Genomic DNA, 18,688 nt, shown 5'->3' with positions numbered 1-18,688 from the left:
TTCCTTTTCCTTTTCCTTTTCCTTTCCTTTCTTTCCTTCTTTCTTTCCCTTCCTTCCTTTCTTCCTTCCCTTTTCTTCCTTTCCCTTTCCTTTTTAGGAAAGGAAAGGGCGTGAGCCACCTCACCGGGCCCTACGAGTGAGTTTTGCTTCTTGCTCCAACAGCACTGCTGAGGGGCTGAGGAGACGGAGAGGAGACGAAGGAAGCTGGTGGGACTTATGTGTCCTTGGCCTTAGGGAGATGCTAGACCAGGCCTGGGCCACCTGAGGATGCCTCTGACCTGGGGACAATTGGTTGTCATAAACTGTAGTTTAGTTGGACCTTCTTGTCACTCACTACTGAACTCAGTCTTGATAGATTTCCCTAGACTCATTTGAAGAAGGAAGTAATTAAAAAGCAGGCCAGGATTGGCCCATGCCTGTAGTCCCAGCACTTTGGAAGGCTGAGGCAGGAGGAAAGCTTAAGGCCAGGAGTTTGAGAGCAGCCTGGGCAACATAGCAAGACCCTGTCGCTACACAACATTTTTAAAAATTAGCTGGGTGCAGTGGCTCACGCCTGGAATCCCAGCACTTTGGGAGGCCGAAGCAGGAAGATAGCTTGAGCCCAGGAGTTCAAGACCAGCCTGGGCAACATAGTGAAACCTTGACTCTACTAAAAATTTAAAAATTAGTTGGGTGTGGTGGTGCATGCCTGTAGTCCCAGCTACTCAGGAGGCTGTGGTGAGAGGATTGCTTGAGCCCAAGAGGTTGAGGCTGCAATGAACTATGTTCACACCACTGCACTCCAGCCTGGGTGACAGAGGAAAACTCTGTCTCAAAAATAAAATAAAATAGGCCAGGCACGGTGGCTCATGCCTGTAATCCCAGCACTTTGGGAGGCTGAGGCAGATGGATCACGAGATCAGGAGATCGAGACCATCCTGGCTAACACGGTGAAAACCCGTCTGTACTGAAAATACAAAAAATTAGCCGGGCATGGTGGTGGGCACCTGGAGTCCCAGCTACTGGGGAGGCTGAGGCAGGAGAATGGCGTGAACCTGGGAGGCGGAGCTTGCAGTGAGCCGAGATTGTGCCATTGCACTCCAGCCTGGGCGACACAGCAAAATTCTGTCTCAAAAAAATAATAATAAAATAAAATAAAATAGCTGGGTGCAGTGGCTCACACCTGTAATCCCAGCACTTTGGGAGGCCGAGGCAGGTGGATCACCTAAGGTCAGGAGTTCAAGTCCAGCCTAGCTAACATGGTGAAACCCTGTTGCTACTAAAAATACAAAAATTAGGGGCCAGGCACAGTGGCTCACACCTGTAATCCCAGCACTTGGGGAGGCCAAGGTGGGCGGATCATCTGAGGTCAGGATTTCAAGACCAGCCTGGCCAACATGGAGAAACCCTGTCTCTACTAAAAATATAAAATTAGCCAGGTGTGGTGGCACACACCTGTAATCCCAGCTACTCGGGAGGCTGAGGCAGGAGAATCGCTTGAACCCGGGAGGCAGAGGTTGCAGTGAGCCGAGATTGTGTCATTACACTCCAGCCTGAGTGACAGAGTGAGACTCCATCTCAAAAATTAAATAATGTGGGGCGCAGTAGCTCATGCCTGTAATCCCAGCACTTTGGGAGGCCAAGGCCGGTGGATCACCTGAGGTCAGGAGTTGAAAACCAGCCTGACCAACATGGTGAAACCCCGTCTCTACTAAAAAAAAAATACAAAAATTTAGCTGGGCGTGGTGGTGGGTGCCTGTAATCCCAGCTACTCAGGAGACTGAGGCAGGAGAATCGCTTGAACCCGGGAGGCGGAGGTTGCAGTGAGCCGAGATCGCGCCCCTGCACTCCAGTATGGGCGACAGAGTGAGACTCCGTCTCAAAAAAAAAAAAAAGTAAATCATACCCTTTTTGCACTAGTACAATTCCATGTCAGTCATCTATCTATGAGCAGTTGGTGGGGTTGGGGCTGGGGGAATATCCAAGCATACTCATGAAACAGTTCCTGGGGTGTCATCTGCCTGGCTCCTGCCCATCCTCCACGGTGGGTGCTGGCAGTGAGGAGGGTGCCAGCCCACCCAGTGATTGGCATGAAGCTTGTTCTATGCTTCAGCCTTCGTGTGTCTCACTGGCAGGGACACAGGGTATGTGAAAAGTTAACAGGCATCTGGGGCATTTGGAATTCTGTGAGGCCGAGAGCATCTCCGTTCAAGTACATGGGCCTGCCCCGTATCTGCACAGACCCACCTGCAGGGACTGAACATTGACTGGGCAGAGCTCCCCTTCACTCGGCTCTCGGGACTTCCTCAGCTGTCTCTTCCTGCAGGAAGCCCTCCTGGGCTCCTCCTGAGCTCTCACACCAGGGGCTGGCAGGGAGCCTGGCACAGAAGGATGCTGATGGATGCCCCCACGGAGCCTCTGTGTGCCTGGAGTGGGCTGAAGGCAGTAGTGCTGCTATTAAAACCATAGGTGAGGCTGGGAGCGGTGACTCATGTTTCGTGTTAGTCGGTTCTCCTATTGCTATAAAGAACTGCCAGAGACTAGGTAATTTAAGAAAAGAGGTTTCACTGGCTCATGTCTCTGCAGCCTATACAGAAAGCATGGCTGGGGAGGCCTCAGGAAACGTACAGTCATGGCAAAAGGTGAAGGGGGAGCCAGCACTTCAAATGGTGGCAGCAGGAGGAATGAGAGAGAAGGGAGGGGTGCCACACACTTGTAAACAACTAGATCTCACAAGAACTCACTGTCGTGGTGACAGCTCCAGGGGGAATGGTATCAAACCATGAGAAATTGCCCCCATAATCCAATCATCTCCCACCAGGCCCCACCTCTAACACTGGGGATTACAGTTGAACTTGAGAGGCCAGGAATGGTGGCTCAGGCCTGTAATCTCGGTACTTTGGGAGGCCAAAGTGGGTGGATCACCTGAGGTCAGGAGTTTGAGTCCAGCCTGGCGAACCTGGTGAAACCCCGTCTCTACTAAAAATACAAAAATTAGCTAGGAGTGGTGGCGAGTGCCTATAATCCCCGCTACTCAGGAGGCTGAGGCAGGAGAATCTCTTGAACCCAGGAGGTGGAGGTTGCAGTGAGCTGAGATCACACCATTGCACTCCAGCCTGGGTGACAGAGGGAGACTCAGTCTCCAAAAATAAATAAATAACAATTGAACATGAGATTTGGGTGGGGACACAGATCCAAACCATATTATTCCTGTAATCCCAGCACTTTGGGAAGCCAAGGTGGGAGGATCGATCACTTGAGCCCAGGAGTTCGAGAACAGCCTGAGCAACATAGTGAGACTTCGTCTCTACAAAAAGTAGAAAAAATTAGCCAGGTATGGTGGTGCGAGCCTGTAGTTCCAGCTACTCGGGAGGGTGAGCCTGCAGTGAGCTATGATGGTGCCACTGCACTCTAGCCTGAGCGACAGACTGAGACCCTGTCTCAAGAAAAAAAAGAAAAAGAAAACAAAGCTGGACAGTAGTTAAAACGGTAAAAAACAGATTTTATTCAGGAACTATTGCAATAGGGAAAAGAGACCTCAGTATAGAACTGGGCTCAATTCTGAATACAGCAGGGACAAGTGGAGACTTCCAGCCTAGGAGCAGGTTGGAGGGGAGTGGGTGGGTGGAAAAATACGAAGGAGTGGGAGGTTGTGGTTGAACTGACTCCCAGGATCCTGGCTGAAGGCAGGCAAGAGTGATCAGAGGGCACCTGGCAGGTGGTGGGAGAGGAGGGATTTGATCAGATACCAAGGGTGGAGATTCTGGCTAAACTGACTTGACAGGATTTTTGCTACAGCTGGGCAATGCAGAGACGGGCACAGACACTCAAAGGTCAAGGCTGAGTGGAGAAGAGGCTCCGGGGAGGCTGAAGGCCGCTCAAGGAAATAGAAAGACTGTGTTTCCAGCCCTGCATGCCTCCTCATCGGCAGTTGAGACCCCACTGCTGCCTGCTCCTTCCCATTCCATTGCGGGGACCTGGACTTGATCTAGCCCTGTCTGGTGGACACACTTTTGTAGGTGCCAGGAGGGAGGAATCTGCTCCTCCTTTCTGCCCCCGACAGCCCCCAGCCCCAGTGGCCACTCACTCCCAGCATGCCTTGCAGCTGCCTGAGTGGGAGACTGTGGTGGACTCGGAGCTGGGGCAGGGAGGACAAGCTTCTTCTGGAAGGGCAATGGGCAGAGGGTGACCTGGTCTTTCACGGTGGTGTCAAGGACCATAGAGCCAGGCCACATTCTCCCCACGTTAACTTTCCCAAAGGGATCAGTTTTCTGCTGAACAATCATTCCCATTTACTGGGAATTATTGGGCAGTGCCTCATGCCTGTAATCCCAGCACTTTGTGGGGGGCTGAGGCGAGAGGATTGATTGAGCCCAGGAGTTTGAGACCAGTCTGGGCAACATAGCAAGACCTCGCCTCTACAAAAAATTTAAAAATTAGAGGTCGGGGCCGGGCGTGGTGGCTCACGCCTGTAATCCCAGCACTTTGGGAGGCCAAGGTGGGCAGATCACGAGGTCAGGAGATCGAGACCATCCTGGCTAACACGGTGAAACCCCGTCTCTACTAAAAATACAAAAAATTAGCTGGGCATGGTGGCGGGCGCCTGTAGTCCCAGCTACTCGGGAGGCTGAGGCAGGAGAATGGCGTGAACCTGGGAGGCGGAGCTTGCAGTGAGCCGAGATTGCGCCACTGTACTCCAGCCTGGGTGACAGAGTGAGACTCCGTCTCAAAAAAAAAAAAAAAAAAAAAAAAATTAGAGGTCGGGCTCAGTGGCTCACGCCTGTAATCTCAGTACTTTGGGAGGCTGAAGCAGGCGGATCACCTGAGGTCGGGAGTTCAAGACCAGCCTGACCAACATGGAGAAACCCCGTCTCTACTAAAAATGCAAAATGAGCCGGGATGAGGTGGCAGGAGCCTTTAATCCCAGCTACTCGGGAGGCTGAGGCAGGAGAGTCACTTGAACCCAGGAGAGGGAGGTTGCGGTGAGCTGAGATCGCACCATTGCACTCCAGCCTGGGCAACAAGAGCAAAACTGTGTCTCAAAAAAAGCAAATGAATAAAATAAAAATAAAAATAAAAATAAAAATAAATTAGCTGGGCATGGTGGTGCACACCTGTAGTCCCAGCTACTCAGGAGGCAGAGACAGGAAGATCACTTGAGCTTGAGCCCAAGTTCAAGGCTGCAGTGAGCTATGACTGCACCACTGCATTCCAGCCTGGGCGACAGAGTCAGACCCTGTCTCAAAAAAAAAAAAAGAAAAAATTCCAGTTACCAGAGCTTAACTCTGTCACCTTGAAGTCTTGTCATCTCTCACCTGGTTCCCTTAAACAGCCTTCGGATGGCTTCCTGCTGTCCATCGGGACCACATGCCACACCCCATCCACCTTGGCAAGTCATAACCTTCCCCAGCACCTGACGCCTTTCATAGCCACCATGGACCCCCCACCAGGGCAAGAAATTCCAGCCACAGGACCACTCAGACCCCTGGATTTGCCCCCAGCTCCCACCTCAGGCTCTTGCTCAAGACAAATGTCCCCTACCACCACTGCATCCCCCTCTCTGGTCACCTTTCAGGCTGGGCTGAAATACCACCTGTCCCCATGCAGGCCGGGGAACTCCTCTTTCTGTCATCCCTTGATTATTGGTGTGTGACTCTCAGGCTGCACCTCATGGTTGGGACTTGTGGGGGGGCCTTGCCCTACTCCAGGCCTGATGCCATGAGCTGAAGGCCCTGGATGCCATGATAGCCAGCGGCACGGTGCAGGAGCTCAAGCTGAGGCTAAAGTGAGGGGCTGCCTTTCTGGTGCTCCAGCCCACCTCTGTTAGCCACCTCCAGTGCCCTCCAGGGAGGGAAAGCTGCCCACTAACAGGCCAGTGGCTGGCTGGGCTGAGCAGCAATGTCCATGTGGGTATCTGTTTTTCTTGTTCTTGCTGTTTCCTGCTGTCTCGGGGTGCACAGGCCCAGGCAGGCCATGTCCCTGGGGCAGGCTGCCAATCACCTCTCCTCTTTCCTCCTGCTCACATAAGCAGCAGGATGGCAGGTGGACCAGCCGCTGACATAGGCCCGCTTGTCCTCCCTCTTTCCCTAGGCTGCCTCCTGTTGGCAGAAGGCCAGGAGCCCTTCATGGGGGAGGTGTGGGGGGCATCCTCTGTTTTCAGGGTTTTGTTTCATTTGTTTGTTTGTTTTGAGACAGAGTCTTGCTCAGTCGCCAGGCAGGAGTGCAGTGGTGCGATCTCGGCTCACTACAACCTCCGCCTCTGGGGTTCAAGTGATTCCCCTGCCTCAGCCTCCCAAGCAGCTGGGACTACACGCACGCACCACCACCCCTGGCTAATTATTTTTGTATTTTAGTAGAGACGGAGTTTCACCATGTTGGCCAGGATGGTCTCGATCTCCTGACCTCGTGATCTGCCTGCCTCGGCCTCACAGAGTGCTGGGATTACAGGCGTGAGCCACCGCGCCTGGCCAGAATTGAACCCAGTTCTATCAGTTCTATACTAAGGTCTCTTTTCCCTATTGTCTCTGTTTGTTTTTGAGATGGAGTCTTGCTCTGTCGTCCAGGCTGGAGTGCAGTGGCACGATCTCAGCTCACTGCAACCTCTGCCTCCCGGGTTCAAGCAATTCTCCTGCCTCAGCCTCCCGAGTAGCTGGGATTACAGGTGCCCGCCACCACACCCAGCTAATTTTTGTATTTTTAGTAGAGATGGGGTTTTGCCATGTTGGCCAGGCTGGTCTCGAACTCCTGAACTCAAGTGATCCTCCCACCTCACCCTCCCAAAGTGTTGGGATTACAGGCATGAGCCACTGCACCCAGCCTGTTTTGAGTTTTTGATGAAGTGGGATTGGGTTCCTTTGTCTGATGTTCCTCGTGTTTCCAGCCCACCAGGTGCCCCGTGGGGAGGCAGGCGATTGGCAGAACTTATTGTATCTCGAACCCCATCCACCATGTCAAAAAGGGGCATCAGCCCAGGGGCGGTTCCTGGTCTGTGTAATCCCAGCACCTGTAATCCCAGCACTTTGGGAGGCTGAGGTGGGAGAACTGCTTGAGCCCAGGAATTTGAGATCAGCCTGGACAACATGACAAGACCCCGTCTCTACAAAAAATAATAAAAGTAAGCCAGGCATGGTGGTGTGTGCCTGTAGTCTGAGCTGCTCAGGAGGCTGAGATGGGAGGATCCCTTGAGCCATGGAGTTGGAGGCTGCAGTAAGCTATGATTGTAGCTGCACTCCAACCTGGGCAACAGAGTGAGACCCTGTCTCAAAAAAAAAAAAAAAAAAGGCAGCCAAAGGTAACCACCACTCACCCCCAACAAACAGGTCCCTATTGCCACCTGATGGGGGAGTGGCCCCAGCCCAGACTCCATTTGCCAGAACTACACCATGGGTCTCAGGGCAGGCTGCTGGGCAGCAGACTTCAACACACGGATTTCTGAGTGAGTGATGCATTAAGGCCATGCTCTCAGAGGGTGCTGGAGTAAGAGAAGCGGGTCAAGGAAGGAGAGGAAACCAAGCAGAGATGCAGCCCCCAGCAAAATCCTGTGAGGCCGGGCATGGTGGTTCACGCCTCTAATCCCAGTGCTTTGGGAGGCCGAGGCAGGAGGACTGCTTGATTCCAGGAGTTCGAGACCAACCTGGGCAACATAGTGAGACCCCCATGTCTACAAAAAAATTTCAAAAATTAGCCAGGTGTGGCTGGGCATGGAGGCTTACGCCTGTAACCCCAGCACTTTGGGAGGCCAAGGCGGGTGGATCACCTGAGGTCAGGAGTTCAAGGCCAGCCTGGGCAACATGGTGAAACCCCCATCTCTACTAAAAATACAAAAATTAGCTGGGTGCAGTGGCGCCTGCCTGTAATCCCAGCTACTAAGGAGGCTGAGGCAGGAGAATCACGAACCTCGGAGGCGGAGATTGCAGTGAGCCGAGATTGAGCCACTGCACTCCAGCCTGGGTGACAGAGCGAGACTCCATCTCAAAAAAAAAAAAAAAATTAGCCAGATGTAGCAGCACACCTGTAGTCCCAGCTACTCAGGAGGCTGAGGCAGGAGGATTGCTAGAGCCCAGGAGATTGAGGCTGCAGTGAGCCGTGATCATGCCATTGTACTCTAGCCTGGGCAACAGAGCAAGACCCTGTGTGTATATATATATATATGCAAGGGATGCTTTGATTGGATCCCACAGGCAAACTCGAGCATGAGTCACGCCTCAGAGCCGCCCTGAACAAAAACAGGAGAACTCAGGCTGCACTCTCCTCCTGTGCCTGTCTTAATGGTTCCAGGGTCATCCTGGGGAAGGTAATTCTCAGGTGCATCAAGGGGCTCCATCCAGCAAGGCTGGGCGCGGTGGCTCACGCCTGTAATCCCAGCACTTTGGGAGGCTGAGGTGGATGGATTACTTGAGGTCAGGAGTTTGACACCAGCCTGGCCAACATGGCAAAAGCCCTGTCTCTACTAAAAGTAATACAAAAATTAGCCGGGCATGGTGGTGCATGCCTGTAATCCCAGCTACTCGGGAGGGTGAGGCACGAGAATCACTTGAACCCAGGAGGTGGAGGTTGCAGTGAGCCAAGATTGTGCCACTGCACTCCAGCCTGGTCAACACAGAGAGACTAGTGTCTCTCAATGAATGAATGAATGAATGAATGAATGAAGACTCTCAGGGCTGGGAGGAGACTCCAGGCCTCACGATGCTCCTCCAAGTGGCTGTGCAGCAGGGCGAGCTCAGCACCATCACTCCAGGCTGCAGCTGGCCTGAATTTTTGGGGGGTGGAGGGGGAAATGGTCTCGCTGTTTCCCAGACTGGAGTGCAGTGGTATTATTTTTTAGTAGAGATGGGGTTTTGTTATGTTGCCCAGGCTGGTCTCAAACTCCTGACCTCTAGTGATCCCCCCACCTCAGACTCCCAGAGTGCTGGGATTACAGGTGTGAGCCACTACCAAGTTGGGCTGAATTGATACAAAGGTTGTCCTTACTAGATCCCAAAGCTGGCCTTCTCAAGCATCCACCCTCTGGTACCTGACCCTCCCATGAGGTTCTCACCGAGTAAGTCCATTACCCAGCCAAGGGCCTCAGGCTGGAAGGCTGGTCTGGGGTGAGGAGGATTGGGTAATGGGCCTGAACAGCATGCTCCTTGCTCGAGAGCAACCAGAAACATTTTCCTTGAAATGAACCTCAACAGCCTGGGCGACACAGTGAGACCCCCTCTCTAAAAACTAATTAAAATTTAGCCAGACATGGCCAGGTGCAGGGGCTCATACCTGTAATCCCAGGACTTTGGGAGGCTGAGGCGGGCAGATCACAAGGTCAGGAGTTCAAGACCAGCCTGGCCAACATGGTGAAACCCCATCTCTACTAAAAATACAAAAAATTAGCCGGACGTAGTGGCGGGTGCCTGTAATCTCAGCTACTCAGGAGGCTGAGGCAGGAGAATCGCTTGAACCCAGGAGGCGGAGGTTGCAGTGAGCAGAGATCATGCTACTGCACTCCAGCCTGGGCAACAATGTGAGACTCCATCTCAAAAAAAAAAAAAAAAAAAAAAAATTAGCCAGACATTGTGGCATGCACCTGTAGTCCCACCTACTCAGGAGGCTGAGGTAGGAGAATTGCTTGAGCCCAGGAGTTTCAGGTTGCAGTGATCAAACCACTGCATTCTAGCCTGGGCAACAGAGCAAGAACCTCTTTCAAAAAAAGAAAGAAAAAAAGGAATGAATCTTTGGCCAGGCACAGTGGCTACACCTGTACTCCCTGCAGTTTGCGAGGCTGAGGTGGAAGGATTGCTTGAGCCTGGGAGTTTGAGACCAGCCCAGGCAACATTAAAAAAAAAAGAAAGAAAAGAAACAGAAAGAAGAAAGGAAAGGAAGGGAAGGGTAAAGAGGAAAGAAAGGGGAAAAGGGGGACGGGGAAAGGAAGGGAAGGGAAGGAAAAAAGAAAGAAAGAAAAGAAAGGAAGCCCTATGGAAGACACAAAATCCAGAGGTGAAAACACCAAGACAAGGACATTGTATTTCTGCATTTTAATTTATTTTTCGTTTCTGTTTCTCACTTACCAACACATGTGTAAAATGTAGCAGGTGTGTTAGTAAAGGAGAAGCAGCTGGGGGGAGAGGGGCAGGAATTAAGCAGCCACATGTGAAGAGTCAGGTCAAGCAGGAAGTGACTGGGGGCAGAGGTGGCGGGCAGCCTCCTCCCTGCCCCACCTTCCCACAAGGCACCAGCAACTGCTGCAGCTCACAACCCCTGCCCCAGACGACTTGGTGAACGTGGTAAAGAGCATTGCTCCCAAACGTCGTCTCAGATATTCTTTCCCCAGCCCCAGCAATGGCACAGTGTCTGCTCAGGCAGCCCTCCAAACCTCCACAGCCTGGTGCGGGAGAAATCTGCCCTGGTCTCCCCGGGCCGGCCCCTGGGTAGCATCTGAGAAGCATGAAGCTGGTGGAGTCCAGGGGGGCCACAGTGGGGCTACCCCGGAGCTCCTTCTGGGGGACCCTCCTTCCAGACCTTGGAGAGCTCTCCCAGAAGGCCCTCTGCTTCAGCCACAGGCTCTTATTCCAGAGGACATTAATGCGGGCTGGGGGGACTGGGGGACACAGCAGCAGAGGCCAAGAAGCTGCCTCCGATGCCCGCCGGAGCCCCTGGTTCCCTGGAGGGAAGGTTTTACCTTCCACCCGGAGCAGGACTTCCTGGCTTGGATTTGCACATCGACCCGGTGAGCGCTCTGACCCTGTGTTGATGAACACAGGCGTTTTCATCAGAATTATACCCACCCTGATGAATTTTCATCTTGGAAAGTATTTTCAAGGCAAATGCCTCTGAGGACGATTCGATGCCTTGGTCAGTTTCTACATAGTGCAAACAAGTTTGCTTCCTCCCCGAATTTCTCCTTGCGATCATTTTCACCAGGATCGAAGATTTTCCACGTGTGTCTCACCACGTCTTGATTCCCTGGTGGGTGTCCAGTCCTCGGCCAGTGTCATTAATCGTCTCGCCACTGGGGGTTTTTCCTCGTTCGTAGTAAGTCCAGTTTTCCCGGAGGGAAAACCTTTGGCAGACCCCTCAAAGGGCAGACAAACGTGTCCCGTGTGCTGTTTCAGCCCCGGTCCACTTCTCTTTTGGCGGATGGATTTTTCTGGCGGTGAAATCTGTGAACCTGGTATTTTCTCAGGGAATCCGGAAGATGATGATGATGATGATGGTGGAAGCCTTTTACTCCAGGGATATTCCAGGACGCCTCCAGCGCCCATGAACCCGGGTCAAGGAGCTTTTCAGGTGGAGGCGGGTGGGGGGTCCCCTCCCGGCCAGGCAGCCCCGATCACGGCCCTCACAGCGCCTTGTCTGCGGGCGCAGTGGCTGTAGCGGCCTGCTCCGCGCGGGCTGGGCCACCGAGGGCCGCCGGCCGCGAGGCGCGCAGCAGGCCGAGGCCCCTGGAGCGGCCCGCGCCGTGCAGCTGGCGCTCGTGGCGGCGGATCTGCACCTTGTGTCGGAAGCGCTCGCCACAGTCCTCGCACACGTAGGGCCGCTCGCCCGAGTGCGTGCGCCGGTGGCGCAGCAGGTTGGAGGAGACGCTGAAGCGCTTGCCACAGTCCCCGCAGGCGTAGGGTCGCTCCCCGGTGTGCGTGCGCTGGTGCTGCACGAGCGCCGAGCTCTCGCTGAAGCGCTTGGCGCAGTAGGAGCAGGCGTAGGGTTTCTCGCCCGTGTGGATGCGTTGGTGCGTCACCAGATTCGAGTGCTGCGAGAAGCCCTTGCCGCACTCGCCGCAGCGGTGTGGCCGCTCACCCGTGTGCGTGGCCTGGTGGCGCACCAGGTCCGTGCTGCGGCTGAAGCCCTTGCCGCACTCCCCGCAGATGGTCGGCCGGTCCCGAGCGCGCCGCCGCCGCCGCTGCCGTGCAGGGGTCAACGCCGCGCTGCCTGCCGGGCCCGGGATGGCCACCACGGCCGGCGCTGCCACGGCGGGCAGCACCATGAGCTCCTGCACCACCACGTAGCCCGGGGGAGCCACCACGACCGCGGCCGGAGCCCCCGGGACCGCCGCTCCGCCGCCCCCTGCGGCTGGCACCAGTTCCAGCTGCAGCTCCGGCTGCACGGGGGTCAGCTCCAGCTGCACCTCCTGCTGCTGGGCGCCTAGCTCCACCGGGGTCAGCTCCAGCTGCACCTCCTGCTGCTCCAGCTGCTGCTGCTGCTGCTCCAGCTGTTGCTCCAGCTGCTGCAGCTCCTCCTGCAGTTTGAGCTGCAGCTGCCGCTGCTCCTGCTGCCGTTCCAGCTCCTGCTGCCGCTCCAACTCCTGCCGCTGCTGCTCCAGCTCCTGCTCTGACCCCAGGTCCACCGGCATGAGCTCCAGCTCCACCTCTTCCTCCTCCTCGGGCTCCAGGGGAGGAGGCTGCAGTTGTTGCTGCTGCAATTGTTCCTGCTGCTGTTGCAACAGCTGCTGTTGCTGCTGCTGCTGTAACTGTTCCTGCTGCTGCAGCAGTAGCTGCTGCTGTAACTGTGCCTGCTGCTGTTCCAGCAGCTGCTGTTGTAACTGTGCCTGCTGCTGCTGCAACAGTTGCTGCTGTAACTGTCCCTGCTGCTGCAGCAATAGTAGCTGCTGCTGCTGCTGTAACTGTTCCTGCTGCTGTTGAAACTGTTGCTGCTGTAACTGTTCCTGCTGTTGTAGCAGCTGCTGCTGCTGTAACTGTTCCTGCTGTTGCTGTAACAGCTGTTGCTCTTGCACTTGCTGCTGTAGCTGTTCCTGCTGCTGCAATACCTGTTGCTCTTGTGCTTGCTGCGTCTGTAACTGCTCCTGCTGCTGCTGCAACCGCTGTTGCTCTTGCACTTGCTGTGGCTGTAACTGTTGCTGCTGGTGCATTAGCTGCAGTTCTGGTTTCAGTTCCTGATGGTGCACGGATTGGTGTTTTTCCTGTTGTAGTTGAGATAGCTGTTGTTGCCCATCTTGCTGCGGCTGCTGTTGCAGTTCTAGGTGTGGCTGCGGCTGTTGCAGCTGCTCGTGTTGCGGCTGTTGCTGCGGCTCGGGCTGCTGTTCTAACTGCTGCAGTTGCAACTCTCGTTGTCCCGGCCGGGTTTCCTCAGCGATTTCACTGGCCCCCACTGGGGCCGAGACTGCTGGCCGCTGTGGACTGCTGTTCCTCTCCTGAGGCTCTTCCTCCTCCTGACTCTCGCTCCCACCGCTGCCACCTGTGGAAGAAATGGCAGGAAGCCAAGAGAGAAAGATCTACAGGAAGCTCTCTGGTGCAGACCCCAGGACCTGCCCCTTACCCTGCCCTCAAAGATACACTAACACGCTCTTAGCAGGAGCCCGAAAGTGCTGGATCGAGTAACAATAGCAGCCCAGCAGAAACTGAAATGCTGCAGGGGCAGGGGTGGCTTGGAAATGTGCCCAGGTGGCCGGGCACAGTGGCTCACGCCTGTAATCCCAGCACTTTGAGAGGCCGAGGTGGGCAGATTGCCAGAGCTCAGGAGTTCGAAACCAGCCTGGGCAACATGGCGAAAGCCTGTCTCTACTAAAAATACAAAAAATTAGCTGCCAGGTGCCTGTAGTCCCAGCTACTAAGGAGGCTGAGGCAGGAGAATCACTTGAACTCAGGAGGTGGAGGATGCAGTGAGCCGAGATCACACCACTGTGCTCCAGCCTGGGTGACAGAGGGAGAGTCCATCTCAAAAGAGAGAGAGAGAGAAAGAGAGAGAGAGAAAGAAAGGAAGAAGGGAAGAAAGGGAAGGAAGGGAAGGAAGGAAGGTAGGTGGCCAAGGGACTGCTGGTGACCTCCCTCTGGACCCCAGCTCCCTGATCCCTCCTTGGAGCTTCCCTTTACACAGGCCCCATGCTCTGATCTCGGCACTGGCACTAGCAGGGATGCTGGGGGCTCCCTGACCATCCTGAGAAGTCTCTTGCGCTTAATCACCCTCCAGTAGAAACCACTGAACTGGCTGTCCCAACGGCCAAGCCATCAACCCCATGCTGAACTCCGACCTTACAGCCACACCTTAAATAAATGAAATTATCCTTCTCTGTAAATAATAAAGAATTTATATAAAGCTGCCCGGAGGTGTTACCACAAGTAGTTTCCCAAAATCACCAAAGTGTCAGAGAGACCACTAGGTTTCAGACAGGAAGTTCTCAGTTCAGAACCTAACTCTACCAGTCGGCAGGTATACAACCTCCTGCAGGCTCACAGTCCTGTCTACAAAATAGCTCAGTGATACCCACACCATCTGCTTAAACAGTACAACAAGGAGAGCCCTGGCATAGTACCTGGAGCCTGGTAGGTGCTTGAAAATTCCCTCTCTCTGAAGGTTAGGATTGGTTTGCAAAGTAACAAAAAAATACCAAGGAGACTGGGACTGTTTGAGATTGTCATTCAGGAATACAAAGGACTAACTAGGCTGGGCGTGGTGGCTCATGCTTGTAATCGCAACACTTTGGGAGGCATAAACCTGGGAGGCCCTGCAAAAACAGCACCACTCCGTTACTACGCTTCTCTTTCCGCACCGTGTACACCATGAGATTCTCGTTTTGAGTATTACTATTGTGCTACTGGAAAATCCCAATCCTTCTTTCTACATGTGACTTGAGGAGGCTTTCTCCGTTCCCAACTCTGATTTCAACATCTCTTCTCCCTATAACATCATATGTTTTCCATTTTGTAATGGAAGACAATGCTTTGATTTATAAAAGTTTGCTTTCTGGCCATTTTTCCAAGAATATATTGATTTAATAAAACCAAGGGATGGCCGGGCGCGGTGGCTCACGCCTATAATCCCAGCACTTTGGGAGGCCGAGGCAGATGGATCACGAGGTCAGGAGATTGAGACCATCCTGGCCAACATGACGAAATCCTATCTCTACTAAAATACAAAAAATTAGTCGGGCGTGGTGGTGTGCGCCTGTAGTCCCATCTACTCGGGAGGCTGAGGCTGGGGAATCACTTGAACCTGAAAGGCAGAGGTTGCAGTGAGCTGAGATCACGCCAGTGCACTCCAGCCCAGCGACAGAGCAAGACTCCTTATCAAAAAAACAAACAAACAAACAAACAAACAAAAACAACAACCCAAGGGACATAGTGAAACCCTGTCTCTACTAAAAATACAAAAATTAGCCGGGCATGGTGGCAGGCACCTATAGTCCCAGCTACTCGGGAGGCTGCAGCAGGAGAACTGCTTGAACCCAGGAGGTGGAGGTTGCAGTGAGTCAAGATTGAGCCACCGCAATCCAGCCTGGGCAACAGAGTGAGACTCTGTCTCAAAAAAAAAAAAAAAAAAAAAAAAATCCACCAAGGGAGATCTGTATGCATATAATTTCCTCTAGTAAAATATTCCTAATAACCTTTGGTTAGGCTAACAGATCCGTGAGCGTGCTTTTCATAGACACTGACATTGGCTGGGGGGAAGCACATGGTAGAAGACAGGGTGAAAACTGTCCCCCCAGCAAGTCCAATGTCTCATGGACCCTCCTTTCTCCCACCTCTTCTGGGAGGAATGAGACAGATCATGCCTCTGTGTTGAGTCTCCTCTTTTCTGGCACAGTCTTGACCACAGGCCACTCTGACTCCCTGGGGCAGCAATTTCAGTTTTTGTTTGTTTGTTTGTTTTAAACAGGATCTCACTCTTGTCACCCAGGCTGGAGTGTAGTGGCGCAATCTCAGCTCACTGTAGCCTCAACCTCTCAAGCTCAAGCGATCCTCCCATCTCAGCCTCTCAAGTGGCTGGGACTATAGGTACACAACACCACGCCTAGCTAATTTTTTAAACTTTTTGTAGAGATGGGGTTTTGCCATGTTTCACAGGCTGGTCTCGAACTCCTGAGCTCAAGCGATCCACCTGCCTCGGTTTCCCAAAGTGCTGGGATTACAGGTGTGAGCCATTGTGCCTGACCTCAGCATTTTTAACAAAGGCATTTTAGTGAACATCTAGTCCAGTGTTGTCTGACGTGTATACCCTCCCAAAGTTTTGTCAGGTAAATTTACAAGTCAGAAGGGTCTTCTTTTCCTCTTCTTCTTTTTTTTGAGACGGACTCTCACTCTGTCACCAAGGCTGGAGTGCAGTGGCATGATCCTGGCTCACTGCAACCTCTGCCTCCTGGGTTCAAGTGATTCTTCTGCCTCAGCCTCCCGAGTAGCTGAGATTACAGGTGCCCACCACACCCAGCTCATTTTTGTATTTGTAGTAAAGACAGTGTTTCACCATGTTGGCCAGGCTGGTCTCAAACTCCTGGCCTCAACTGATCTGCCCGCCTCGGCCTCCCAAAGTGCTGGGATTACAGGAATGAGCCATCATGCTCGGTCAGAACGGTCCTTCTTGACTCCACACATCCCCATCCCACCCCCTCCAATTCCCTTGGTCCTTTTCAAGCTCTGTCCCGCCCTGCCCCAGGCCCTCACTCAGCACCCTTAAAGCACAGAATGGAAACTGGCTCTCATGAGTGTGGCCACCAGAGAAGGTTTGCCCAGAGTGGGTCCCAGAGGAAGAGGTCTTGGAAGGTTCTGCAGTACCACATCTGCCCCTGGGCATCAGGTAGAGAAAAACAGATGCAAGCAGAGGTCAAGCTAAAGTGGAAAAGGTTACGAGGCCACAGGGGAGAAGAAGCCAGGGAGCCAACATCTGGGGCAGGAGGGGCAGAGGAAGAGAGCCTATTAGTACCTGAATCGGATCCGGGAAATTGAGTGGAAATTGACTCAGGAGCTGGGGCCAGGTGGGAGGATGGTGGAGGCCCTCTGGCTGCCAGGAAACACAGCAATGAGTTCCAGCCAGCAGCGCGTGTGAGTGTTAAGTCCAGTCAGCACCCATGTGGGGAGCGGGGAGCCCCTCACCAGCCTGGCCTCAGCCTGCCTGACACAGCCACCTTGGAAAATCTCAAGGGAGAGCTGCTGGTGTTACTCAATGCAGCTGAGGTTGGCTGGTGTGAGTCTGTGCAGGCTGCCCGCCACCCTTGAGCCTCTTTCTGCCACAGCAGGCAGGCATGAGGCTCTGTCAAGGGATCCCCCGAGGCCCTCACCTGAGAGGGTGTCAGGCCCTGGGCCCCCATCCTCAAGACATTGAAGTTCCAGCACGAAGGTCTCGGTGGCTGGCCCCACTTCCATCCTGGCGGTCAGACCCCGATTCCCGGGAGTCGGCTGTGCTGAAAGGAAGGAAGCAGTTTAGCCAGGCTGGAGTGCTTTGACCCCCGCCAGGTGCCCACAGGCCCCCAAAGGCCCTCCACCTCTGCCTCGGGCCACCCAGAGCGGTCAGCTCCATACCTGCTGCAACTATAGGACTGTCCCCCGCAACGGGGAACGGGGAGTGCCGGCGGCCTGGAGGCTCAGGACTGGGGAGTTGGCAGACAGCACCAGAGGCTGTCACCTGCATAGAGGCAGGACTGCCTCTCCTGACTTTTCACAGCGGGATGGAGAGTGGGGTAGCCCCACAGAGACACAACTGTGGGTATCAGCCCTTCACAAGGGAGGAAAGCTAGAGTCACCAAAGGGACATTCAGGGCGGGGAGCTCTGGGGCCAAAGAGAGACTGTCCATCAACATCCTCCCTGCCTCCTTCAATTCTTTTTTTATTAAATACTTTTTTTTTTTTTTCTTGATACGGATTCTCACTCTGTCACCCAGGCTGGAGTGCAGTGGTGCGATCTGGACTCACTGCAACCTCCGTCTCCCCAGTTCAAGCGATTCTCCTGCCTCCGCCTCCTGAGTAGCTGGGGCTACAGGTGCGTGCCATCACCCCCAGCTAATTTTTATGTTTTTTTATATTGTAGATGATGTTGCCCAAGGCTGGTCTCGAACTCCTGGCCTCAGGCGATCCTCCTGCCTCGGCCTCCTAAAGTGTTGGGATTATAGGAGTGAGCCACTGCGCCTGGCGCCCTTCCATTCTATTGCCTTCCTGGCCTGCTCTGAGAAGGCCGCCAGCAGGCCACGTGTGTCAGCTGCCACCCCAGCTCCCGGGCAAGGCAGGTGTCCAGAGCACTGTCACCCACGGCCTGGCCCTGTGCCCAGGCGCTCCTGAGAGTCCACCCTGGCCCGTGCAGAGCTGGCCCCTCTCCCCTAAACAGGCCGACTCGTGCCATCCAGTCCAAACTCTCTCAAGGGACGCGTCCCCGGTTGCCCAGCGCCAACGACCCCCTGGGCCTCACCTGGTGGAGCATTTCCTGCTCCCGGGCAGCCTCTGCGCTAGGGAGGTGTGGTCAGCAGAGGCTGCGAGGTGAAGGCCACGGCGTGCAGCCGGCTCCTTCCGGAGGCGCCTCCATCCAGAAAGAGCCAGGAGGCGCAGGGCCACCCCGGGGGCTTTCTGGGCACTCCGGAGGGTCCACGCCCTCTGGGCTGCCGAGGTCGCCCTGGGCCAAGGGAAGGGGCTGAGAGGAGCGGCCGAGCAGAAGTTGGTGGAGACTCTCCGGCGGGGGCTGGGGCGGGAGGCAGGGCCCCGAATCCCGCGCGGGGCTCAGGGCCGGCCCCCCGGGACCATCGCGGGCAGCGGGATCCAGGCCGGCGCCCGGGGTCGGCACCACGGGGTGGCCCCGCCTGGGGTCGGCGGCGGCCAGGCGACGCGGGTCCTCGGGGGCTACAGGTGCCCGGAGCCTGCGGGCGGCCTGGGCCGGGCCGCGCGGGGGCCGGGGCGGGGGCGGGGCGGGCGCCGCGGCAAGGCCGGGTCCCCCTGGGCTCGCCCGCCCGCCCGGGAGTGCGTCCGTGCGGGCCGCTGGCCGGGCCGGGGGCGGGGGCGCGGGGGCCGGCACAGGAAGTCCCCCC

At 54.8% G+C, this 18,688-nt stretch overlaps 1 protein-coding gene across 4 annotated transcripts, besides 1 other annotated feature; it reads right to left on the bottom strand.

Moving 5' to 3' along the window:
• Positions 9,831-10,331: an enhancer, noted in NCBI's record as "H3K4me1 hESC enhancer chr7:6663565-6664065 (GRCh37/hg19 assembly coordinates)". NCBI's record gives its function as "activates a minimal SCP1, AML or CMV promoter by ChIP-STARR-seq in naive H9 embryonic stem cells {active_cell/tissue: H9 hESC(naive)}" and the evidence as "EXISTENCE:reporter gene assay evidence [ECO:0000049][PMID:30033119]".
• Positions 9,975-18,655, bottom strand: ZNF853 (zinc finger protein 853). Of its 4 annotated transcripts, none has more exons than XM_011515439.4 (4): positions 18,079-18,655; positions 16,958-17,080; positions 16,603-16,680; positions 9,975-13,143 (listed from the first exon to the last, which is right to left on the bottom strand). In XM_011515439.4, the coding sequence occupies exons 2-4, from the start codon at positions 17,040-17,042 to the stop codon at positions 11,294-11,296; spliced, it is 2,013 nt and encodes a 670-aa protein (XP_011513741.1). In that variant the 5' UTR covers positions 17,043-17,080; positions 18,079-18,655; the 3' UTR covers positions 9,975-11,293. The 4 variants fall into 4 exon arrangements, with proteins under 4 accessions (XP_011513741.1, XP_011513740.1, NP_001340475.1 ...); XM_011515438.4 differs by having other exon boundaries at positions 16,958-17,075; NM_001353546.2 differs by lacking the exon at positions 16,603-16,680.
• Between the last annotated feature and the right edge of the window lie 33 nt (positions 18,656-18,688).

Source organism: Homo sapiens, chromosome 7 (assembly GCF_000001405.40).
Source record: "Homo sapiens chromosome 7, GRCh38.p14 Primary Assembly".
In the NCBI taxonomy this organism is placed as follows: Eukaryota; Metazoa; Chordata; class Mammalia; order Primates; family Hominidae; genus Homo; species Homo sapiens.
This window is presented reverse-complemented; position numbering and strand designations above follow the sequence as displayed.